The following is a 26,856-nucleotide window of genomic DNA, read 5'->3' as shown; positions in this document are numbered from 1 at the left end:
ACTGAGGCAATGATGTATGCAAAGCCTTTAGTATAGCAACAGACACCATATCAGTAAGCTCCATAAGTGATAGTTGATATTATTTAACAAAGGACTGTTTACTAAAAAAAAAAAAAAAAAAAATAGTCAAATGATGCTGTGCAAAGCACTGACCTGCTTTGGTGGGAGTTACACATTAAGGCACTGTATCAATTATCCATTGCTGCATAACCAATTATCCCAAAGCCTGGTAGCATAAAACAACAAACATTTATTATCTCACAGTTCCTGTGCCTCAGAAATTCAGGAGCAGCTTAGCTGGGTGGTTCTGGCTTGGGCTTTCTCATGAGGTGGCAGTCATGATGTCACACAGGGTTACAGTCATCTGGAGGCTTGACTGAGACTGGGACATCCACTTCCAAGATGGCTCACTCACACAGTTGTGGGAAGGAGGTTTCTGATCATTACCACGTGGACCTCTCCACAGAGCTGCTTGAGTGTCCACACAACATGGCAGAGCCAGTGATCCAAGAGAGAACAAGATAGAAGCCACAGCGTCTCTTATGACCTAGCTTTGGAAGTCTCATTCTGTCATTTCTGCAATATCCTACTGTGGTTACACAAATCAGCCCTATTCAATATGGGAGAAAACTAGACAAGGGCACTAATGCCAAGAGGCAGGGGTCATTGGGGCCATCTTGGAGGCTGGCTACTTGTCACTGATAATCTATGTAGCTTAATTTAGTTCCTGCTTTCCTTTCTAGGAAAACATACTTCTGGAATTTCAAAAGACAGGGTGCCTAAGAGCCCAGGACAGAAACCTGATTCAAACCCTCCTTTTAAAAGGATGGTTTTGTTGGTTTTATTGGTTCATGTAGCTGAGGAAAACAAAGGTGGAAAAATAATATCTGACATTTACTGAGCACATATTACATGCTCAGCACATGTTTTAACTCACCTAATCCTTATAAAGACCTTATGAGCTAGGTACTGAATGTAAAGCAGGAAGCAATCCAGGGATTTGAAAGCACTGGTACCTTCTTTTTTCATTTCGGCTTCTGTCCCAGTGCTGATCTTCTCTTAGACTCCTTCAGGTGGCAGGTATACAGTCGTCATTAACCCAGTGGCTGTGGCCTGAGAGTTGCTGATCCAAAGGGAAAGAAATGGTTTCTCTTGCCTAGTTTCAGTCGTAAAATCCCAAGGAAAACTTCTGATTGGCTCAGCTTTGGTCATGTGTTCATTACTGGGCCAACCACAATGGCCAGAGGGAGTGGCAGGAAGTGGCAGTTCCTTGGAGAAACTAGGGGTGATTCTATCATAAAAAGGGGTGGGGGAGAGTAGATCAGGCAGACACAATCACTGAAGGAGGAGAGTACAGGAGATTTAGAGGAAGAAGATCTGTGAAGAGGTTTGGGAGGAGTTAAGAAGGGAAAGCAATCAGTCATTTTTCCAAAGGCCAGTCTGCAGGGCTGGGACTGAGCACAGGCTGAAATCAAGGTTGGACTACCTCTCAGCCCTTCTCAAGCCCTCCAGGCCTAGCAGTCTCCATCTGATCCTGTATTGGAAATGGGCATGGAAGATGCCACAACTTCTCAAGCTTTCCCTAGGAAAAGGGGTGGGTGAACTTCTGGCCTGAAGAATCTGAGGTAAGACACAAAGTAGCCCCTCACTGGCAGAAAGGTTCTTTTTGGTCTCACTTTTTATCTTAAACATATAGGAGTTTGCATCACACTCCATGATATTTTCCTGTGTGTCTTGTTATAAAGGTAGTTTATCCTGTAAAGATCTTCAAATAAAATGGTTAATTCAGGGCCTATATTCACCCTGTGGCCTTGGTAGCTGCTGGGATGCTGCTGGGTACCATAGAGCTCTCCGTACCCTGATTCAAGAAGCTTGGGCACATATGGTTGGCAAATCCAGACCCCAATGGCATGGAGTGTGGCAAAGGGCAGAAGGATGGCATTGATATGGGACACTCCTGGGGGATTCATACTTTGCCCAGAGCCAGCTTGACATTCCCCCTTCTCTTCATTGACCCTCCATCCCTGTCCTTCATTCACACTTGAACCGGAGCTGCGGGGGCATGCATCTCGGGGCTGAGAGACTATCGTGGTGCTGAGTACATCCCAGGACCCAGTATTAATAAGTACTCAATAGATATTTACCAAATGCATTGCTGCTTCAGAATTCAGCAATAAAGTTAGGTGTTTCCTAAAGATGTCTTTTAGGTCTTTACGAAAATCACTTTGCAAATATTTCATAAAATAAGAATAAATCATCAACTACACTCATAAAAAATATAATTTTGTAAAAATATTCTAATAATTATCAAATATTGTAACTGTTTATATACAATTATAAAATTTAGCAATTATGAAAGATGGTAAGAGTTGTCCTTTGTTCAGCTTTTCCATGTGACAGACTTGGCATTGTGTTTTCCTATATGAGGTCAGTATGAGAGTATGATTTGAAGACAGCAGTCCCTCTATTTTTAATTGTCCTATATCCTCTCCTTGCCACAACTGAGTGCCCTAAATATAGATCCAGCTCCTCCTGACTCCTACCCAAATATTAAGTCACAATTGTCTAGCCTTTTGGGAGGCCAAGGCAGGTGGATTACCTGAGCTCAAGGATTGGAGACCAGCCTGGGTAACATAGTGAAACCCCATCTCTACTAAAATACAAAAAAATTAGCCAGGCGTAGTGGTGCATGCCTGCAGTCCCAGCTACTCGGGAGGCTGAGGCAGGAGAATAGATTGAACACGGGAGGCGGAGGTTGCAGTGAGCCGAGATCTCGCCGCTGCACTCCAGTCTAGGCGACAGAGCAAGACTTGTCTCAGAAACAAACAAACAAAACCAGGCACGATTGAGATTATTTATGGGGTCAGCCAGCAAGGCTGGGACTGGGGTGCCCTGTTATATACTCTCACTGATTCTCCTAAGATGCTCCTTTTTTGCCTACATAACGATCAGGCCAAGAGGTCTCCACACCAGGCTCTGTTCTTCTGGCAGTGCCCCTGACCTTTTGTGTCCTGGAATACAGCAGAAGAACAGGATGGCATGGCCCTGCTGGACACAGTACTTGGGAAAAGACCACAGACTCAACTGCTTGCTCCACAGCACGCACAAGGGCCACTGCCAAAAATATAATTACCCAGAAATGTGGAACCGAGACAATGCAGCAGAGGGGACTGAGCAGGGACAGTGGGGGAGGGACAGAGAGGCTAGAGGAAGTAGGGCTGGTCCTGAGGGACGGATAGAGTCCTTCTCAGTGGCCCAGTGAGCTGCGGCTGGGGAATAAGAGGCCCCAGGCACCAAGGAAGATGGATCTGCAAACTAGAAGCTTCTAAGGAAGTTGGCTTGACTCTCTAACCTTTCTGGAAAGAGAGAAGCCCTTTCCATCCTGCAAAATTGTGAATGGTCACTTTGCAATGGAAGAATCAGGCCGTCTTCCCCAAACAGAAGCAGAGGAGCAACCCACCCAGCTCTCCTCTGCCCAGTCCGTGTTAGGCAAAACTAACCTCCCTGATCCTCAGAGGGGATGGGAACAAAAGGTGGGCTACAAGCTCATCTGTGGAGAAACTACAGCGGAATATTTGCTGAGATCTTTGACCCAGAGGCTTTTGTGCAACTGCTAAGCTCATTTCAGGTCACGTGACACTCTTGTGCCAGTCCTCACTGGTGTGATAGTTACAGAAAAGCTGGCATTCGTCTTTGCTCGAACAATGCCCCATCAACGTACAATATAGAATAAATGATTATTAATGACAAGTTTTGGGGTATCTCTGAATTGCTATGACTATTTCCAACCCTGAGAATGTGTCCTAACACACACCAATGCATAGATGTGACATGGGAAATATTTAGTGACTGGGGCCTCAGCTGCATCAGAACCAGCAACCAACCAGCAATCAGAACCAAGGGGGCAAGGTTCTGAGACATTCTCCTGTGCCTGGCATTGACAGGTTGGCTTATGAGTCATGGGAATCTCCAGGAGGTCCCAGGGAAGAGCCAGGGCAGAAGAGGGGACACTTGTGGATCTCAGGGCAGTGCTATTTACCAACTGACATGGAACTATTTCTTTATTTTAAAAACAGAGAGGCCAGACACGGTGGCTTACGCCTGTAATCCCAATACTTTGGGAGGCCGAGGCAAGCGGATCACTTGAGGTCAGGAGTTTGAGACCAGCCAGGCCAACATGGTGAAACCCTGTCTTACTAAAAATACAAAAATTAGCCAGGTGTGGTAGCACTCACATGTAATCCCAGCTACTAGGGAGGCTGAGGCAGGATAATCACTTGAGCCTGGGAGACGGAGGTTGCAGTGAGCTGAGATCTTGCCACTACACTTCAGCCTGGGTGACAGAGCGAGACTCTGTCTCAAAAGTAAAAAAAATAAAATAAAAATAATTTAAAAATAAAAACAGAGCCAACTGAATAACCACATATGAAACAATGAAGTTGCATCCCTTCACACCATATGCAAAAATTAACTCAGAATGTACCATAGACTTAATGATAAGAGCTAAAACTATAAAATCTTTAGAATCTTTGGGCCAAGGAAAGCCTTCTTAGACACCAAAAACACAAGAAACCTGAGAAGAAATAGATCAAAATACAAAACTTGTGTGCAAATGCTAGCACCAAGAAAGCAGAAAGATAACCAACAAAATGAAGGGAAATATTGGCAAGTTATATATCTGATAAGGGAATCATATCTTGAATGCAGAAAGAACTACTACAGCTCAGAAATAAAAGACAAACAAATGTGAAAATGGCAAACGATCTCAATAGACATTTCTCCAAAGATAACATACAAATGGCCAGGAAACATGTAAAAAGATGTCCAACAACATTAGCCATCAGAGAAATGCAAATCAAAACCACAATAAGATGCTACTTCGCACCCGCTAGGATGGCTATAATTTTTAAAATGAAAAATAACAAGCGTTGGCAAGAATATGGAGAAATTGTCACCCTCATACAATGTTGATGGGAATGCAAAATAATATAATGCCTCTGAAAAGCAGTTTGACAGTTATTTAAAAAAATTAAGCATAGTTTCCTTATGACCCAGAAATTCCACTTCTACATATATATCCAAATGAATAAAAATATGTCCACATAAAAAAACTTGTACATAAATATTTATAGCAGCATTATTCATAATAGCCAAAAGTGGAAACAACCCATATGTTTATCAACTGATGAATAGATAAGCAATGTTGGTATAGCCATCCAGTGGAATGCTATTTAACCATAAAAAGGAATGAAGCACCAATCCATACTCCAGCATGAGTGAACTCTGAAACCATGCTAAATGAAAGAAGCCAGTTGCAAAAGATCACATGTTATATGATGCTGTTTATGTGAAATGTCCAGAATAGGCAAATCCACAGAGACAGAAAGATTAGTGGTTGCCTAGGGTCACAGGGACTGGGAGGAAATGAGGGCGACTGCTAATGGGTACAGAGTTTCTTTTTAGAGTGATGAAAATGTTCTAATATTGACTGTGCTGATGGTTGCACAACTTGTACACTTTAAATGGGTGAATTGCATAATATGTTAATTCTATCCTGGGAAAGTCACTAGATGTGCCACATTGGCCAATACACAAACAAGCTGTTTAAAAATGCAGACATGAGTGTGCATGAGTGCGTGCACACACACACCCCAAGCAGACACAAACAGGAGAAGAAGAAATTAAGAGAAACTGATCAATACGAATGGCTGTGAATGCTTTTCACAAGGGTGGCCACGGAGAGTGAATTCTTGCTGCATAGTTTTGGCATAGGATGTCCTGCTGAAAATATATATAATTTTACCTCCCCAAAAGAATAAGAAGCTTTTGTACCCTCAAATAATTATGTTCTAGAACTTTCTTATTTGGGCAGTTTCTAGGAGTTGTACCTGTATCCCTATCATTACAGAAATAGGACTCCCAACGGTAATATTTGAAGAGACACCTGCACGAAGCTTATAAAATCCTGGTGCTGTTTCCCCCTCAGAAAGCAGACAATCTCCCTGCCACACCAGCAAACTGCTTCTGCCTAACACCAACCAATGAGAGGGAGTGGAAGAAGATACTCTCTGGGAAATTACAATGCAGTGATTCAGTTCCATGTCTGGGAAAGATGGAGGCCTTGTGGCTCACACCCAGGCCATGACAGGGAGCCCTGAGTTATACACTGTGTGGGGACATGGGGGAAGGCTATTTGCCAAGCAGAATAAATCCATCTTTCTCAGAGGGGCCTCTGAAGTAACAAATGCACTCACTGGTTAAACGCAATTCCAGGGCAGATGAGTTTGGGTTCAGGAAAACAATGTGGCCCGCTCAATGACTCATCTTTTGTGCTGCTGCACACTGTCACCACACTTGACTGTGCTGCCACTAGTGACATCTGACACTTGTTGAGCGCGATGATAAATACCTACACGCTTATCTCATTTCATCCTCAAAACCACTCAATGAGGTCAATGCCATCATCACGACCACGTTGCAGGTGGAGAACTGAGGTCCAAGGGGGCAGATGAAGTTGTGAACCCAGTTCTGCCTGACACCATTGCCAAGTTGTAATCACTTATGCTTCAAAAGCAAGAGCTCTGAACACAGGCTTACACGCCAAGAGGGGAGGAACGGCAGAGGAAGGGAGAAGCTTGTTCCTTGTTTTCTTCAGCCGTAGCATTGAATTACTGTTGAAATTCTTGAGAGGCAACATTTCTGAATAGGAGAAGCATATAAGAGAAATATCCTCATCCAAGATACAGAGAGAAAAGAAATTGGAGGAGGGATATATCGCACTGAAAAAAAACCTCTCTGCACATGTTTAGGGAAGACAGAAAAGGAGTGAGTGAGGAAGATAAGACTACAGAGATGCCCCTCAAAGACTGGTCCAGGTCTCCTTACCTTAGTCTACTCCAGAACACAGACAGAAACCCCTCACCTCATGTTCCAGCAGCAACCAAAAGGTCCTCCTGTGAAGGGCGCCGCCTCCTTCTCTTTTCCTTCTCCCTGCACTCCATTCAGGGATCCTACCCATAGATTAATAAGAACAGGTTTGGAAAACACATTTGCCCACTGTAGATTTAACCTGAAGTTTCCTGGTAGATCCACACTGAGCCAGGAGGAGAAGTCTGTGGGACAAGAAGGAGAACATCAGCTGGGTGCGGTGGCTCACACCTGTAATCCCAGCACTTGGGGAGGCTGAAGCAGGAGGATCACTTGAAGCTGGGAGTTTGAAACCAGCCTGGTCAGCATAGCGAGATCCCATCTCTACAAACATAAAATTTAAAAAATTATCCAGGCATGGTGGCATGTACCAGTAGTCCCAGCTACTCAAAAGGCTGAGTCAGGAGGATCACTTGAGCCCAGGAGTTTGAGGCTGCAGTGAGCTGTGATTACACCTCTGCACTCCAGCCTGGGCAACAGAGCAAGACCCCATCTTAAAAAAAAAAAAAAAAAAAAAGAAGCAGCAGCAGGACATTGACTGGGGCCAGAAGGACTAGCTCAAGTCTCAGCACCAACTCTAATGGGCCACCGCTTTGGTTTCTTTCTTTTATTTATTTTTATTTTGACATAATTGTAGATCTACAGAAAAGTTGCAAGAATTGTAAAAATAATTTCTAGGATGCCCCAATTAAAAGACACAGACTGGCAAATTGGATAAAGAGTCAAGAGCCATCAGTGTGCTGCGTTCAGGAGACTCATCTCATGTGCAAAGACACATATAGGCTCAAAATAAAAGGATGGAAGAATATTTACCAGGCAAATGGAAAGCAAAAAAAGGCAGGAGTTGCAATCCTAATCTCTGATAAAACAGACTTTAAATGAACAAAGATCAAAAGAGACAAAGAGGGACATTACATAATGGTAAAGGGATCAATGCAGCAAGAAGAGCTATCTATCCTAAATATATATGCACCCAATACAGGAGCACCCAGATTCATAAAGCAAGTCCTTAGAGATCTACAAAGAGACTTAGACTCCCACACAATAATGGTGGGAGACTTTAACACCCCACTGTCAGTATTACACAGATAAACAAGATAGAAAATTAGCAAGGATATTCAGGACTTGAACCCACCGCTGGACCAAGTGGACCTAATAGACATCTACAGAACTCTCCACCCCAAATCAAGAGAATATACATTCTTCTCAGCACCTAATTGCACTTATTCTAAAATTGACCACATAATTTGAAGTAAAACACTCCTCAGCAAATGCAAAAGAATAGAAATCATTACAGTCTCTCAGGCCACAGTGCAATCAAACTAGAACTCAGGATTAAGAAACTCACTCAAAACCTTACAACTACATAGAAACTGAACAACCTGCTTCTGAATGACTACTGGGTAAATAACGAAATGAAGGCAGAAATAAAGATGTTCTTTGAAAGCAATGAGAACAAAGACACAATGTACCAGAATCTCTGGGACACATTTAAAGCAGTGTTTAGAGGGAAATTTATAGCACTAAATGCCCACAAAAGAAAGCAGGAAAGATATAAAATTGACAGCCTAACATCAAAATTAAAAGAACTAAAGAAGCAACGCAAACAAATTCAAAAGCTAGCAGAACACATGAAATAACTAAGATCAGAGCAGAACTGAAGGACATAGAGACACAAAAACCCTTCAAAAAATTAATGAATCCAGGAGCTGGTTTTTTGAAAAAAATAAACAAAATAGATAGGCTGCTAACCAGACTAATAAAGAAAAAAAGAGAGAAGAATCAAATAGATGCAATAAAAAATGATATAGGGGATATCACCACTGACCCCACAGAAAAACAAACTACCATCAGAGAATACTATAAACACCTCTATGCAAATAAACTAGAAAATATAGAAGAAATGGATACATTCCTGAACACATACACCCTCCCAAGTCTAAGCCAGGAAGAAGTTGAATCCCTGAATAAACCAATAACAAGTTCTGAAATTGAGGCAGTAATTAATAGCCTACCAACCAAAGGAAGTCCAGGACCAGACAGGTTCACAGCTGAATTCTATCAGAGGTACAAAGAGGAGCTAGTACCATTCCTTCTGAAACTATTCCAAACAATAGAAAAACGGAATCCTTGCTAATTCATTTTATGAGGCCAGCATCACCCTGATACCAAAACTTGGCAGAGACACAACAAAAAAAGAAAATTTCAGGCCAATATCCCTCATGAACATCAATACCAAAATCCTCGATAAAATACTAGCAAACCGAATCCAGCAGCACATCAAAAAGCTTATCCACAACAATCAAGTTGGCTTCATCCCTGGGATGCAAGGCTGGTTCAACATATGCAAATCAATAAACATAATCCATCACATAAACAGAACCAATGACAAAAACCACATGATTATCTCAATAGATGCAGCAAAGGCCTTCAATAAAATCCAACACCCCTTCATGCCAAAAATTCTCAATAAACTCGGTATCAGTGGAATGTATCTCAAAATAATAAGAGCTATTTATGACAAACCCACAGCCAATATCATACTGAATGGGCAAAAACTGGAAGCATTCCCTTTGAAAACTGGCACAAGACAAGGATACCCTCTCTCACCACTCCTATTCAACATAGTATTGGAAGTTCTGGCCAGGGCAATCAGGCAAGAGAAAGCAATAAAGGGTATCTGAATAGAAAGAGAGGAAATCAAATAGCCTCTGTTTGCAGATGACATGATTGTATATTTAGAAAACCCCATCGTCTCACCCCAAAATCTCCTTAAGCTGATAAGCAACTTCAGCAAAGTCTCAGGATAAAAAATCAATGTGCAAACATCACAAGCATTCCTATACACCAATAACAGACAAACAGGGAGCCAAATCATTAGTGAACTCCCATTCACAATTGCTTCAAAGAGAATAAAATACCTAGGAATCCGACTTACAAGGGATGTGAAGGACCTCTTCAGAGAGAACTACAAACCACTGCTCAAGGAAATAAGAGAGGACACAAACAAATGGAAAAACGTTCCATGCTCATGAATAGGAAAAATCAATATTGTGAAAATGGCCATACTGCCCGAAGTAATTTATAGATTCAATACTATCCCCGTCAAACTACCACTGACTTTCTTCACGGAATTGGAAAAAACTACTTTAAAGTTCATATGGAACCAAAAAAGAGCCTGCATTGCCAAGACAATCCTGGACAAGACCAAAGCTGGAGGCATCACGCTACCTGACTTCAGTCTGTACTACAAGGCTACAGTAATCAAAACAGCATGGTACTGGTACCAAAACAGATATATAGACCAATGGAACAGAAGGGAGGCCTCAGAAATAACACCACACGTCTACAACCATCTGATCTTTGACAAACCTGACACACACAAGCAATGAGGAAAAGATTCCCTATTTAATAAATGGTGTTGGGAAAACTGGCTAGGGATATGCAGAAGACTGAAACTGGACCCTTTCCTTATACCTTATACAAAAGTCAACTCAAGATGGATCAAAGACTTAAAATGTAAGACCTAGGACCGTAAAAATCCTAGAAGAAAACCTAGGCAATCCCTCCATTCAGGACATAGACATGGGCAAAGACTTCATGTCTAAAACACCAAAAGCAATGGCAACAAAAGCCAAAGTTGACAAATGGGATCCAATTAAACTAAAGAGCTTCTGCACAGCAAAAGAAATTATCATTAGAGGGAACAGGAAACCTACAGAATGGCAGAAAATTTTTGCAATCTATCCATCTGACAAAGGGCTAATATCCAGAATCTACAAAGAACTTAAACAAATTTACAAGAAAAAAACAAAAACCCCATCAAAAAATGGGCAAAGGATATGAACAGACATTTCTCAAAAGAAGACATTTATGCAGCCAACAGAAATACGAAAAAAGGCTCATCATCATGACTGTTCATTAGAGAAATGCAAATCAAAGCCACAATGAGATACCATCTTATGCCAGTTAGAATGGCGATCATTAAAAATTTTGTCAGGAAACAACAGATGCTGCAGAGGTTGTGGAAAAATAGGAACACTTTTACACTGTTGGAGTGTAAATTAGTTCAACCATTGTGGAAGACAGTGTGGCAATTCCTCAAAGATCTAGAACTAGAAATACCATTTGACTCAGCAATACCATTACTGGGTGTATACCCAAAGGATTATAAATCATTCTATGATAAAGACACATGCACACGTATGTTTATTGTGTCACTATTCACAATAGCAAAGACTTGGAACCAACCCAAATGTCCATCAATGATAGACTGGATTAAGAAAATGTGGTATATATACACCAAGGAATACTATGCATCCATAAAAAAGGATGAGTTCATGTCCTTTGCAGGGACATGGATGAAGCTGGAAACCATCATTCTCAGCAAACTATCACAAGATCAGAAAACCAAATACTGCTTGTTCTCACTTATAAGTGGGAGTTGAACAATGAGAACACATGGACACAGGGTGGGGAATATCACACACCAGGGCCTGTCGGGGGGTGGGGGGCTAGGGGAGGGATAACATTTGGAAAAATACCTAATGTAGGAGACGGGTTGAGGGGTGCAGCAAACCACCATGGCACGTGTATACCTATGTAACAAGCCTGCACATTCTGCATATGTAACCCAGAACTTAAAGTTTAATAACAAAAAAAAAATTTCTATAAGCCTTTCACCCAGATGCCCTAAATGTAAACATTTTATCATCTTTCCCTCTCAATTGATAGACAGATACAGATATATATGAGTACATAAACATACACAAGCATTACAAATAGATACATATGCATATATACAAATATATGCATACACAGGTATACATACATTCTCTCTTTCTCCCTCTCTCCCTCTCTCTCTCTCTCTCTATATATATATATATGCACACATACACATTAAAAACCACTGGTACTCACAGTTCCTATTCAACACTGCAGAGCTCATTAGATCTTTCTGCTTCCCATATTGGTAACTCTCTTCCCATCAGTGAGAAACCTGGCTCCCACTATGCACAATATATTTACTTTTTGCTTAATCCTAGAATACAGTCAGTATTTTCAGAATTCATCATTTATTCGTTTGCAAAAAAGAAACCTCCCATCTAGCATTTAAGACTCATTAGTCCCAGGAGTTTGAGACCTGCCAGGGCAACATGGCGAGATTCCATCGCTACAAAAAAATTTAAAAATTAGCTGGGCGTGGTGGCATGTGCCTGTAGTCCCAGGTACTCGGGAAGCTGAGGTGGGAAGATGTCTCAAGCCCAGGAGGTTGAGGCTGCAGTGAGCTGTGACTGCGCCACTGCCTTCCAGCCTGGGTGACAGAGGGAGAACCTGTCTCAAAACAAAAACAAAAACAAAAACAAACAAACAAAACTCAGGGTTCTTTAGTCCTTATTCCAAGCACTGCGTTCCAGTCACTGGTTCAATCCCCCTCCCACCTCCACCTTCCTTTCAATGTGGTTGCGTGTTTCATTTGAAATACAGTTGACTTCATTTGTTTCTACTTACATCTCATTTTAAGATTTTTTTTGTTCCTCCTTGTTGTCTTTTCCCTTCCTTTTTTCCTTCCCTTCCTTCCTTCATACCTTCCTTCCTGCTTCCTTCCTTTCTCTCTTTCTCTCTCTCTTTCTTTCTTTTTGAATACATGAAATCTTAACAGGGTTCCAAGAGTCAGAAAATATGAAAAAATATAATCAGAGTAGTGTCCTTTCCCTATCATTACTTCTCTGCTTTCAGCCTCGTTACCACCTACCCCTGTAACTAACCAATCTCATTATTTCTGTCATATCCTTCTAGTTCTACTGGGTTTTTTTCTTGCACAAATGAGGAAATATGTGTATATTTTCTTATTTCCCCTCCCTTCTTACACAAAAGGTAGCACCCTACCTTAACAGTATGCCCTGGAGTCATCCCAGGTAAGTCCATAGATATCATTCTTATTCTTTTTTACAGCTGCATAGAACTCCATTGGGTGAATACACTATAATCACTTCACTACTCTCATGTGTGTGGGTGTTTGGATTGTCTCCAGTGTTTTGCAATTACAAACAATGTAGCAATTAATACCTTGCACATACATATTTTCACATTATGGGAAGGTTAGCTACTTTTAAATGTTACGTATCAGTAAGGATTAGATCCAACTTTATGTAATAGAAAACTCAAAATAACAGAAATATATAATAGGTTACTGCTAGCCACACAAAAAAAGATCCAGAAGCAGGAAGTCCAGGTTGTCACTGTGACTCATCAGGGAGCCTGGCTCCTTCTGTCATTCTATTCTTCCATTCTTAGTATGTTATTTCCATACTTAATTACCTCATGATCTAAATGGCTGCTGATACTCCCACCATCACACTCGTGTTCCAGGAAGGGAAAGGATGTAAGATCAAAAAGGGCTTTCTTCAGCTGTTACTCTTTTATGGAGACATTCTGAAAGTGTCTCCCAACAACTTTCACTTACGTCTTATCTTCTAGAATTCAGTCACATAGCTACAGGGAGATTGGGGAAAATAGTCTTGTAGCTGGTCACACCACTACCTTCAGTGATTAGGGTTTTTTTGTGTTTTTTTGGTTTTTGGTTTTTGGTTTTGTTTTTGTTTTTTGAGACGAAGTCTTGCTGTCACCAGGCTGGAGTGCAGTGGTGCGATCTTGGCTCACTGCAACCTCTGCCTCCTGGGTTCAAGCAATTGTCCTGCCTCAGCCTCCCAAGTAGCTGGGATTACAGGCGCATGCCACCATGCACAGCTAATTTTCGTATTTTTCGTAGAGATGGAGTTTCTTCATGTTGACCAGGATGGTCTCGATCTTTTGACCTTGTGATCCACCCATCTCGGCCTCCCAAAGTGCTGGAATTACAGGTGTGAACCATGATTAGGGTTCTTTAGTTGAGGAGGAGGGGGAAAATGTGTGTTGGTTGGGCAACTAGCAATCCCTACCACGTTACTACAATTAAATTTTCACTCCTTCCATCACTACTATACAACCAGTATACCTTTTGTTTATGAGGGTGACCTAAAAAGTCACCTCTCTCCCCGGAGTACTTTGGGATAATTTGAGGTGCATTCTCATAGTTCTGAACCAGTATAGGGCCCTCCCCACTTGGGGACCAGTTGGAGTGATGGCCGCCGGCTCCACGGGAAATGTCCAGGAGAATGCATTCACTAGGGCCACGCTGTTATACAAGCCACAAGGAGGGACAGGTGTTTTCAAGAGAAGGGAAAATACAATGATTGTATTAGTCCGTTTTCATACTGCTGCTAAATACATATCTGAGACTGGGCAGTTTACAAAAGAAAGAGGTTTAATGGACTCAATGTTCCACGTGGCTGGGGAGGACTTACAATCATGGTGGAAGGTGAAAGGCATGTCTCATGTGGAGGCAGACAAGAGACGTGACCTCGTACAGGGAAACTCCTCTTTATAAAAGCATCAGATCTCGTGAGACTTATTCGCTATCACGAGAACGGCATGGGAAAGACCCACCCCCATGATTCAATTACCGCCCACTGGGTCCCTCCCATGACACATGAGAATTATGGAAGCTACAATTCAAGATGAGATTTGGGTGAGGACACAGCCAAACCATAGCAATGATCCTTCAACAAGCAAAGGAGATAAACCCGAAAGCCAGATGCCACTGTCTTTCACCAGAGATGAAAGTAACAATGTACTCAATGTCATCTAGAGTAGCAAATGTATCAAGAGACTTTAAAAAGTGCCCAGGTTAATCCCAGAGGGGATAGAAACTGTCTTACAAAATGGCATTACATACAAAAAGAATGATGTCAGGAGTGCCAGTAAAGGCAAACTGCTTATGTGTGAGTTTGGGAGTGGAGGCTGCAGAGGGATGTGGTTCAGTTGGGTAGGAGGAGTGGGACTGAGCTGTTGGATTTCTGCTCCAGAACAAGGAAAATGGGACTCTCACAGTGGCTCAGTGAAAAGTGCTAGGGTTTTGGAGTGTGATGGAGCTGAGTTCACACCCCAGTTTTATGTGTGACAACCATAAAGTCACTTTGTTCCTCTTGGGCCTCAGCTTTCTCATCCACAGTCTTCTTTCTAGCATGGAGCTGTGGGGAGAATTAAAGGATAGATTAAAGATTCAGCAAGGCGTTTATTAATCATTAATAGTTACTGCCATGGCTGGGTGTGGTGGCTCACTCCTATAATCCCAGCACTTTGGGAGGCTGAGACTGAAGGATCGTTTGAGCCCCGTAGTTCAAGCCCAGCCTGGGCAATACAGCAAGACCTCATCTCTATAAATAAAAATAACTAGCCAGGTGTGGTGGTGCACGTCTGTAATCCCAGCTGCTCAGGAGGCTGAGGTGAGAGGATTGCTTGAGCCGGGAGGTTGAGGCTGCAGTGAGCCATGATTATGCCACTGTACTCCAGCCTGAGCAACAGAGCAAGACCCTGCCTCAATTTTTAAAAAAATAGTTACTATCATATCGTTTAGTATGAAAGTTCTCAGTCAGTCCTTCCCTAAGTGTTCATGTCTGGTTACCAGACCCTTCTCCCACTTGGACGGAGGATTAGAGAAAGGAGGAGGGCAAACACCTTTCTGGGAGATGCCGAGCTGCAGCCCCCCAGGGAGAAAGGGTAGAAAACCACAGGTAAGGGATTTTCCACGCTTCTTAGGGTCGATCCTCCTAACCGTTTGTTAGGTAGAACCAGACAGCATGACAGGTCCAGGGGCCCACAGAGGCCACCGCACATCAAGATATGGAAAGTTTCCATTTTTCATGCCCTAACATGCTGGGTCTAAAGGAGTTTTGTCCCCAAAGGGCTGTTCATTAAGGAATCACTTTCCTTACACTCAGGACTCCAGTGATGTCAACCTATAATTTAGTGTTGTCCCAGTGACCACTGGCTGTGCAGCCCTGGACACGTCTCAGTCTCTGGAAATTGCCCTCCCTTTCCCCTTGGGGTGTGCTGAGATGCCCATAAAAGCTCTTCTCTGGATGTTTGAAGTATCAGAAAGTGGTCAGTTTGACAAAACAAATGTGTCTGAGTAAGCATCTTAGCTCTTACTCATTAAATTCTTGGATAAGACCAAAAAAAAAAAAACCTGCCATTAATTGAACACCTACTATGTTCCTATACTTTATATGCATTCTCTCATCTCACCCTTACAACCATTCCATGGGTGTGAGAAGCAGCTATTATCATCCCCATTTTGCTGTAGATGAGATTCAGAGAGGTTATGAGGCTTGCCCAAGGTCACAGAGTCAGCAAATAGCAGATTTAGGATCCAAACATAGTGCTGTCTGACCCCAAATCTATAGTCTTAAAAAGTTGGGTGTGGGCCAGAGGCTGTGGTTCATACCTGTAATCCTAGCTCTTTGAGATGCCATGGCAGGAGGACTGCTTGAGGCCAGGAGTTCAAGGCTACAGTGAGCTATGATTATACCACTGCATTGCACTGTCCACCTTAGGCAATAGAGTGAGACCCTGTCTCAGAAAAAAAAAAAAAAAAGTCAGGTCCTTTGGCAGAAGGTCTTTCAAAAGCTCAAAAGTGCAGCTTGCATGGGAAGGTGTCCTCTGGTGTGGGTCTTCCACAAGTCCCCAGAAGCCTTCATCCTACAAAAGACTCGATCATGTCCAAAGACAGCTGCTGGCGCACAGCATCCACTGGTTGAGATGCAGATTTCCCCCTTTGCTTCTCAGCCACAGTAAAAGCAAAGTTTATTTTCATTGCCCTGCTTCCCCATGTTGGAAGAAAGCAGAGCCTGGGCCCCACATTCCATTCTAAATAAGGGATGGGAGGGCTGTTAAATTTAATTAAGATGATTTTTGCATTTTGAAAAAAGTATTACACACAGACACACACACACACACACACACACACACACTCACCCCTCCGCCCTAGGCAGAACCTCTGCACCATTTCCAGAATTGAGCTCGATATCAACCCGGTGCCACACTCACATCTGCCCACAACCTTGAATCCATCTACAGGACAGGTGGGCAGTCAGCATGTCATTTCAGAGGCTGCTCATTCAGATTTGATTCATTGAGGCCAACACATGCCTCACACCAATAATCCCAGCATTTTTGGAGGCTAAGGCGGGAGGATCCCTTGAGCCCAGGAGTTCAAGCCCAGCCTGGGCAACATAGCAAGACTCCATCTTTACAATAAACAATTTTTTTTTTGAGATGGAGTCTCACTCTGTCGCCCAGGCTGGAGTGAAGTGGTACAATCTTGGCTCACTGCAAACTCCGCCTCCCGGGTTCAAGCCATTCTCCTGCCTCAGCCTCCCGAGTAGTTAGGACTACAGGCACCCCCCACCACGCCTGGCTAATTTTTTTTGTATTTTTAGTAGAGACGGGGTTTCACCGTGTTAGCCAGTATGGTCTCGATCTCCTGACCTCGTGATCCGTCCGCCTCGGCCTCCCAGAGTGCTAGGATTACAGGCGTGAGCCACCGCGCCCGGCCTTACCTCATCTTTAGGATAAGGCAGCTGTGCAAAATATGAGATTGCATTTTAATAACCAGTTCCAAGACCTCAGGATGTACAAATCAGAAGCCTAGGTTAAAGGTGACAGGCAAGCTTATACCAATTACCTTTAACTAGAGCCACACCCTCCTATTTCCAGGATTTCAGCCTCAATTCCCACGGTCCCTCAAACTCAATATGCTGAGCCCAATTTCATTACAGAATGCGGCTCTCTGATAACATCACCACTTTTTTCCTAGGTTCTTCCCTCCCCCACTTATTAATCCCCTACTCACCCCTCCCGGCCCCCACCCCACCCCATCCCTGCGCTGCCTTGGCCTCTCCATCTAATCAGTTGCCAAGTTCATTAGATCTTATCTCTGTTATGTCTTTCAACACTTCCCACCCTGTTCCTTCTCCCTGTGACTAATCTGGCCTCTTGCCCCCAGGCACCTTCCTGCCTTTATTTCTCTATAATTCATCTTACTCCCTGCAAATAGAAAGATTTCTCAATGCACATATGTGCTTCCGTCACTCATGGGCTCCAGTCCAGGCATTTGTTTAATTCTAATTCTAATATTATTCCCATTTTGAAGATCAAGAAACTGAGGCACAGAGAGGCTACGTGACTTGCCCAAGGTCACATATATCGTGAGCGGTGGCAGGAGGATTTGAGGTTGGAAATACCGCATCAGAAGCTAAGTGCTTGGTCCCTGCATAAAAGCATTCTGCACCATGGCCTTCTAATAGTCCTGCTCATACCTGCTGCCTCCACCGTGCCAGACCCACCACTGCGGTGGAATATGGCACCATTCTCCATCTCCAGTCATCAACACTGTCATGAAATTGCTGCCCAAATGCATCAAGTGAGGCACCTGAGATGCAAAATTTCAGAAGGCACTCTGCACTCTCACATCCCCAGGATGCTTTTGGGGGAGGGCATCCTCATGTGCCCTCAGGTGGCCAAGCGCCTTCAGGTGGTGCTTTCATGGAGGGCATCCTTACATTTTGCACTGCAGGCACCTCGCTTGCCTCACCCTAGTCGTGGCTCCACTCTGCATATATCATCTCATTTAATCCTCAGAAGAAGCCTGTGTTGTAGGCTGGTATCGTGATTATCATCATTAGCATTTTACAGATGGGAAAACTGGGGTGCAGAGAGGTAAAGTGATTTGATTTGCCTAAGTTGAGGTCCAGACTTAAACCCCAGGCCATCCAACTTTAAAGCTATGCTCTAACCCACGGGGCTCTGTGGGATTCGTTTATGGCCCAAGAATAGCACAAATGAAGTCTGTACTTGGCAGAGTCCTGGGGCATCCGTAAGAGGTGCGCTGGATGGGGCACAGGAGCAAGAACACACTGGGAGGGAGGAAGAGCGCACAGGGAGGTGGCATTTGAGATGAGACGAGAAGCAGCTAGGATTTCAACAGGTGGCACTTTGGGGGAGGGCATGCTAGGAGGAGGGAACAGGAAGTACAAGGGCCAGGGGCTAGGAAAGGGCAGGGGCTGTTCCAGGACAGTGTAGAGCTGGCTTTGGCTGGGGTACAGAGCACGTACACAGAAGGTAGTGTGGAGAGGCACTGGCTGGGGACAGGCCAACAGGGGAGCACCCCTAGTGTGGTGGGACAGCTTCATCCAGCTACGTCCCAGGACAGGGACCAGAGCGGGCTTCTCTTGGGGCCAGAGCGGGCTTCAAGCCCCCACTGGGTCCAGCACCTGCCCACATCTGTGGAACCCAGATGGGAGCAAGGCTTTGCCCTTTCTCATTGGAGCTGAGTGTTTTGCCCCTGCATAAATGAATTCTGCACCATGGCCTTCTAGGAGTCCTGACAACAGGGGAATGGGCCAAGGGCTCTCAGCTTGCCTGGGGCCTCACTCTGTTGTATCTTGGCCTGACTCAGCATGAAATAAGCAGGACCCAGAAAGCTCTCGTGGGCCAGGAGCACAGGCGAAGTCCCAGGGTGCACAGAGGAGGCAGAGTCACAGGGACTGGTGTCCAGGTTCTTGGGGAGGTGACAGTAAGGAGGCAGATATCAAAAGAGGGCTTGGCCACATGCACTGGGGGAGAAGAAATGGCCTGTCTTCTCCCTTCCCTCTGCATGTAAAAACACATCTTGACTGCCACCATGCTAAAAAGCCTGGAAACGTCTTCTAAGGAAGACTGGAGTGCCCTGGTTTTAGGGACACAGGCTCTTTCTCAATTACTGATGTCCAGATTGCCCTCTCTGCAAATCACCTGGGGAAAACATTAATCCCTTAATGCAGTGGTCCCCACCCTTTTTGACACCAGGGACCAGTTTTGTGGAAGATAATTTTTTCAGAGACTGGGGTGGGGGGATGGTTTCAGGAAGATTCAAGTGCATTACATTTATTGTGTACTTTATTTCTATTATGATTACATTGTAATATGTAATGAAATAATTACACAACTCACCATAATGTAGAATCAGCAGGAGCCCTGAGCTTGTTTTCCTGCAACTAGACAGTCCCATCTGGGTGTGATGGGAGACAGTGACAGATCATCGGGCATTAGATTCTCATAAGGAGCAGGAAACCTAGATCCCTCGCATGCATAGTTCACAATAGGGTCCAAGTTCGTATGAGAATTGAATGCCTGCTGATCTGACAGGAGGCAGAGCTCAGGCAGTAATGTGAGTGATCAGAAGCAGCTGTAAATACAGATGAAGCTTTGCTGTCTCACCCACTGCTCACTCCTGCTGTGTGGCCCAGTTCCTAAGAAGCAACGATCGCGTGGCCCGGAGGTTGGAGACCCACGCCTGAATGGGCTCCACAGCCACCCAGCATTCTTCCCGCTGGCTCCCATCATGCACTTGTGTGGCCTCTCAGCGTGTCTGTCTGGACTCTCTTCTAAGATGTGTGTTCTCAGCCGAGAGAAGCATGTCAGGGCTAGGGTGGAAGCTGCCGAGTCCACAGCTCAGCCCCACATAGCTTCACTCCAACTCCACGCCTCCACATGGGGTGACTTCTTGGTCCCCAGGGGAGCTCCCCACTGGAATCACAGCAGAGCAGGCCTATGGGTGCCCACGGCTGTGGCCTCCCTGCATGGCATCAAGGAGGTGGTTGGTAAATACTGGTTCAATGGAGTCATGAATGTTTCTAACGGGGCTTCTGCCAAGTCTCCCTGCACCTGACACTTGGTTACCTGGCAAAGACCTCCCGGGCAACCGTTACCTGCCATCTACAGTCACCAAGTCTTTCCAGTAACTGCTCCAATGACCACTTCTTTATTGTAGTAAAATATATATGACAGAAAATGTGCCATTATAACCATTATCTCTCATTCAAGTCTATCATTCAGTGACATCTACATTCACATTCACGATGTCATACAGCCATCACCACTACCTAAGTCCCAGAATATTTTCATCACCCCAAAAGGAAATCCCATACCCCATTCCCATTCGCCCCTCCCCTAACTCCCACCCTCAGCCTAGGCAACTGTTGATCTGCTTTTTGTCTCTATGGACTTGCCTATTCCGGACATTTTGTAGAAACAAAATCACACAGTATGCAACCTTTTGTGTCTACTTTCTTTCACTTAGCCTAATATTTTCAAGATTCTTCTGTGTTGTAGCACAATCAGGACTCCATTCCTTTTTATGGCTAAATAATACTTCATTGTATGAATATACCACAAGTCATTGATTCATTCATTGGCGGACATTTGTATTGTTTCTAGCTTTTGGCTATATGAACAGCGCTGCTATGGACATTTATGTACACGTTTTTGTTTGCACATCTATTTCCAATTCTCTTTGGAGTGGAATTGCTGGATCATATGGTTAATTCTATGTTTAACTTACTGAGGAACCACCAAGTCCTATTATCACTTTGTTCTGAGATGCATACACCTTTATCATAAGACATCTAGAAAATGCATACACACATAAGAAAACATTAAATCACAAATAGTCATGGCACTCAAAGATAAACATTGTCAACTGTTCTGAATGTTTCCTACTAGAATTGTTTAGAATGCCTAAATATATACATTTACTATATAATTAAAAGTTTGTACAAAAGTGGGATTATAGAAATGCCATTTAATGTCACACTTTAATGCCACCTTCTCAACGACAAACCTGATTAAAACCAAACCTCACTACTTCCTGCTCCTTCCCAGTATGATTTTACTCCCTGGCATTTATCATCCTCCATCTCATCTATATCATGCTTATCATAAACCCTGGGAATGCTGGGATTGCTGACTGTTTTGTGCAATGCCTGGCACACAGAGATGCAGTAAGTATTTGTCAAGTGAATTAATACTTTTAAATGAATGAAAAGGCAACCAAGTCAAAATTTAAACTGGATTTCAAATGCATTTGCCGATGTGTAGTAGAAATGGTTGTGCATTACTTCCTGTTGGTGATCATCCGCACTGGAATCTCCACGGCCCTCATTCTTTTTCAAAATGCTTTATCCGAGACATAAATATGGTCCCTGGGAATCCTATTGGCTAGAACCAGGTCATCACCAATCCTTGAGCTTTCTGAGTTTGATTTTGCAAGGAGGCCCCGTCATTTCCATCCCAGGCTCCCAGAAGGGCAGGGGGCTGGCGGTGGAAAAAATCATCCTGAAAAATCTCCAACAGCCAGAGCCCATTTGGCCCTAATTTCAGAACGGGTTTCTTCCGAACTCCAACCGAAGCCAAGATCCCCAAAGGGAGACCATGTCTCTGCCTCCACCTTCCTGTCTATGTCAGAGCAATTCTCCCAGCCACCTTGTCACAAGCCCGCTGTGCTGCTGATATTAGTTACAGATGATGGCAATTAGGGGCCGAATCTCTCTGGCTCCTGGTAGAATATTGAGACAGAGCTACAGCTATTTTAAGATTTTAAGCAGATTTATACTTAGTGCTTCAAAGAAGGCCAGCCAGCAAGGAAAATATGGTAACTGTTGCTTTAAATTATAGCTATCATTACTTCAAAAGGATATTCAATCAGAAACCACTGAAGACTAAAACTATTTACATCTCCTGACACTTAAAAGCAAGCAAGCAGTTTTAGCCTGTCAGCCTTGGACATGTTGGCTACAAAGAGAGAGGTACCTCTCCGACCTGCAAAGAAAAACATTTTCAAGGGAGCAGGAACTGAGAAGGTACCTTGGGAGTCCTCCTGCTTGGAGCTTGCCTGCCATCTCTCTCCCACAGCCTGTAAAGGAAGAGTTTGGGGTCTGGGGTGTGTGGTTCTGCCCAGGTCTGCAGACAGCAGTCTCCAAACCCCGGGAAAAGCTGGCTCTTTAAGCCAGGATGACTGCCCCTTTCTGCCTGGCCTCTGGCTTTCAGGCCCCTGCCCTGGGGAAATCCTGTCTCATCCCATTAATACAATTCCCAGGACAGGGCTGCCTCCTTCTTCTTCCTGGATTCCACTGCATGAACTGGACAGCAGGGCTGGGTGATATATCGATCAGAATCAGAGCCAGTGGAGCCCTTTGTTAACAGAGAGAGTCGCCCAAAGCATGGGCTTTGAGGATAGACTTCTCCAGGTTAGAGTTCAGGCTCTTGAATTTACTAGCTGTGCAACCTTGGACAAGCCACTTAACCTCTCTGAGACTCAGCTTCCTTGTAGGTAAACCTGGGATGATTCAAATCGCCCTTTCATATGATTTTTGAGAAACTTCAGTGAGACAATGTGCAAAAAGCACTTTATTAGTTAGAGTAATGCTAGATGCTGTAACAAATAGTCCTGACAGTTTCAGTGGCTGAACACAATAAACCTTTCTCCCTCGCCTGACAATTCAAGGAGGGTGTTCCTAGTCAGCAGGCAACTTTTCTCCCTGTGATGATTTGGGTGGTTTGGAATCCATCCATTCCACGACTGTCATCTCCCAGGGTTTAAATGTCTCTGCTTCTAGTCTCAGGAAGGAGAAAATGGCAGTGGGCTGGGTCCTCTGAACGTAGAGATGATTAAGATTTCACAGGTTACTCCAACTTGAGAGATCAGTTAAGGAAACGGCCTCTTTTGCTCTGTGTGTGTCTGTACCCTCCCACCCGCCAAAAATTTGCATTTGGAATTAGACGCCCTCCTACTGGCTGCCATAGCCTTGTGCTTACCAGCATCAGCCACGGCCCCTGGAATGTAATTTTGTGGGCACAGCCTGGACTTCCATTTTTCACGGAACAGAAGAACTCAGCACTTGGCACACAAGAGAGGTTCGATAAATATTGGCTGGAAGATTTAAACAGTAAAATCCAGGACCCTGCCGCATTCCCCAACAGGGCAGGTACAGATTAGTGAATGTTCCTAAATGAGTGATGAGTAAATGTTACTACTTGGCAATCTGGAGAAAGAATATTGTAGGCGTTCCCTATACCAGAGGCAAACTGTGGCCTGTGGACCAAACTCAGCCCACTGCCTGTTTTTGCAAATGTTTAATGTTTTGCTATGTGTGTATGCATTTTCTAAATATCTTATGATAAAGGTGTATGCATCTTGGAACAAAGTGGTAATCGGACTTGGTGGTTCCTCAGTAAGTTAAACATAGAATTACCATATGATTATTAAAAACTCAGGAAACAACAGGTGCTGGAGAGGATGTGGAGAAATAGGAACACTGTTACACTGTTGGTGGGACTGTAAACTAGTTCAACCATTGTGGAAGACAGTGTGGCAATTTCTCAAGGATCTAGAACTAGAAATACCATTTGACCCAGCCATCCCATTACTGGGTATAAACCCAAAGGATTATAAATCATGCTGCTATAAAGACACATGCACACGTATGTTTATTGTGGCACTATTCACAATAGCAAAGACTTGGAACCAACCCAAATGTCCATCAATGATAGACTGCATTAAGAAAATGTGTCACATATACACCATGGAATACTATGCAGCCATAAAAAAGGATGAGTTCATGTCCTTCGTAGGGACATGGATGAAGCTGGAAACCATCATTCTGAGCAAACTATCCCAAGGACAGAAAACCAAACACCACATGTTCTTACTCATAGGTGGGAATTGGACAATGAAAACACTTGGACACAGGGTGGGGAACATCACACACCAGGGCCTGTCATGGGGTGGGGGGAGGGAGGAGGGATAGCGTTAGGAGATATACCTAATGTAAATGACGAGTTAATGGGTGCAGCACACCAACATGGCACATGTATACATATGTAACTAACCTGCACTTTGTGCACATGTACCCTAGAACTTAAAGTAAAATAAAAAAAAATAAAAGAAAATGGACTACTACAAATAAATAACTAAAACAACCCCCAAAAAAGAATTATCATACAATCTAGAAATTCCACTCCTGGATATATAACCAAAAGAATGGGAAATAGATGTGCAAACAAAAATGTGTACACAAATGTCCATAGCAGCACTGTTCATAGTAGCCAAAAGCCAGAAAACGCTACTGTTTTGCGCCTGTACACAAGGGCCTGGGAAATGGAGACCCTGGCTGGGTTACTGCCTCCCAGGGTGAACTCTACACTATGGCAGAAAAAGCTCAACTTTTTGGGGGACAGGTAGCTGTTCTCCGCCTCAAGCACTTAGGGCAGTGTTACTCATTAATATTAATATTATTTTAACTGTAATTGTTTTCTAATTCAACCTTCCAATTGTACAAATGAGATCCAGGGAGTTGAGCGCAAGGTTACGGCTAGTCAGTGACAGAACTAGAATTGGAACAGAACTCTCTTGGCCTCTGACCCACCCTTGGAGCCAGGAGAAGGAAGAAGTTCCGACTCAGGGCTATTTGCTTTAGATAGGCAGGGACTTTGGAAAGTTCATTCCCTGTCTTAGGAAGCCAACATTTCACAGCTGCTGATAATTTTGCAGGATGGAAGGTCAACTTTGCTCTTCTCCTGGGTTCTGGAACCAGACCTTCCTAACCTGCTCTGCTCACCTGGAGCCCCAGCCCACTGTCACCCATGCCCTCATCTCCAGACTCTTCTTCCAGCAAGTAAGAGTCACAGCAGGTACCACACTGGGCGGAGATCCATGGTCTCCAGGTGGGAGGAGGTGACTGCCTGTCCCTGTTCGGAAGCTATTAAAAAGAACGCCTTCTTCTTGCCTTGACCCCATGGCCCACTCTGCCTCCAGCCTGGGGTGGGTAAGGCATGTCCCTTGTTGTCTTGGGCTCACCTCAGCCCCTACCTTGCCAAGCAGGCCTTGGGTGGCCAGAGCAGGTACACACAGGCTGTGCAGCCTGAGAGACAGCAAGGTGGGGCAGGTGGTGGCATGGGAGTAAGGTGAATGCTGTGTGTTACCTGGGCAAGTCACTTCCCTCTCTCGGCTTCCACTTCTCCAATGCCACCTGCTCTGCCTGGCTTGTGGGGCTGTAGAGGGTGGGGTAAACATCTGCAGGCATGACAATGTCTTGCATAGTGGATGCTTGCTTATTTTTCAACCTCCCCTAATAAATTCCATCTTCTTTCCATAACAGTAATTGGATTTGTGTGGGGGAATTACCTAACACTCCCCCACTGTGTGTAGTTTTCAAGGACAGTCAATCAAGTTGCCACACCCCTTCCCTGCCCAATGGGTGTGTACATGACTCCAGATCAACCAATCAGAATCTTCCCTGGGACTTTGAATCTTGAGTGAAGTCACAGAGGATGGGAGAAAAAGAGAACAGATGTAGTTGTTTCTTCCCAGCGGGGCAGCCTGCTCCCACCCACTTGTACACACACACGTGTGCACACACACTCTCACACACACACGGATACTTACACACTGTCTCACACACACATTCACAGTCACACATTCTCACACACAGTCACACACTCACACAGATACACTCACACACTCTCACACACACATACTTGCACACACACTCTCACATACACATACTATCACACACTCGCACACACATTTACACTGACATCTGAGTCCTACAGTATCTGCAACTCCTCCCTAAGGGTTTGCTTGTTTCTTCAACTAGGCCATTGGCCCCTTGAGGGATGACATCTTATAATTCTGGATTTTTCTTTTCCCCAGCTAGGCTTGCAAAGCAGGGATGGTGGCTTGGAGCACCAGCTTCCGTGTCAAGCAGGGCAGGCTGCACTCCCAGCGCCCTGGTGCCTCTGGCTCTCGAGGCTTGTTCCTCATCTCTAGCTCCCTCACAGAGTTGTCCTGAGGCTCACAATGGGAACACATCAATAAATTACCTATTGCATTAAAATGAGTTGTTATTATTGGCACAATTGTTATTGACGCTTAAGCCTGAAGGCAAATAAATGATTTTTAGCTGCAAAATGGATCCTGTTCTTTTCTGCTGGATGGCTGGCGTCAAGGAAGGTTTTGCTCCGAGAACTAGCTTTTAGGCCCTGAACTCAGATCCCCCTGACGAATTCTCAGCACCCACCATGTGCCAGATGCCACCCTAGGTGCTTTCAAATAAATTTTCTGGAAGCCAGAAGGTCTAAACAATAATAATTTCCTTTCAGTTCCTATTTTTTCTCAAGAACTAGGAGTGTAGCCGAATGAACTCCTTTTCTAGAAGGCTGTGGTTATCA

At 44.1% G+C, this 26,856-nt stretch overlaps 1 long non-coding RNA gene across 1 annotated transcript; it reads left to right on the top strand.

Annotated features, from left to right (window-relative positions):
* The first annotated feature begins 1,260 nt into the window (after positions 1–1,260).
* LINC02169 (long intergenic non-protein coding RNA 2169) lies at positions 1,261–26,596 on the top strand. The gene is made up of 3 exons (NR_126340.1): positions 1,261–1,625; positions 25,178–25,301; positions 26,339–26,596. It is a non-coding gene; the product is annotated as a long intergenic non-protein coding RNA 2169 (long non-coding RNA).
* The last annotated feature ends 260 nt before the right edge of the window (positions 26,597–26,856 follow it).

This window comes from Homo sapiens, chromosome 16 (assembly GCF_000001405.40).
Source record: "Homo sapiens chromosome 16, GRCh38.p14 Primary Assembly".
In the NCBI taxonomy this organism is placed as follows: domain Eukaryota; kingdom Metazoa; phylum Chordata; class Mammalia; order Primates; family Hominidae; genus Homo; species Homo sapiens.
The sequence above is the reverse complement of the archived record's forward strand: the minus strand, read 5'-3'. Positions and strand labels throughout refer to the sequence as shown.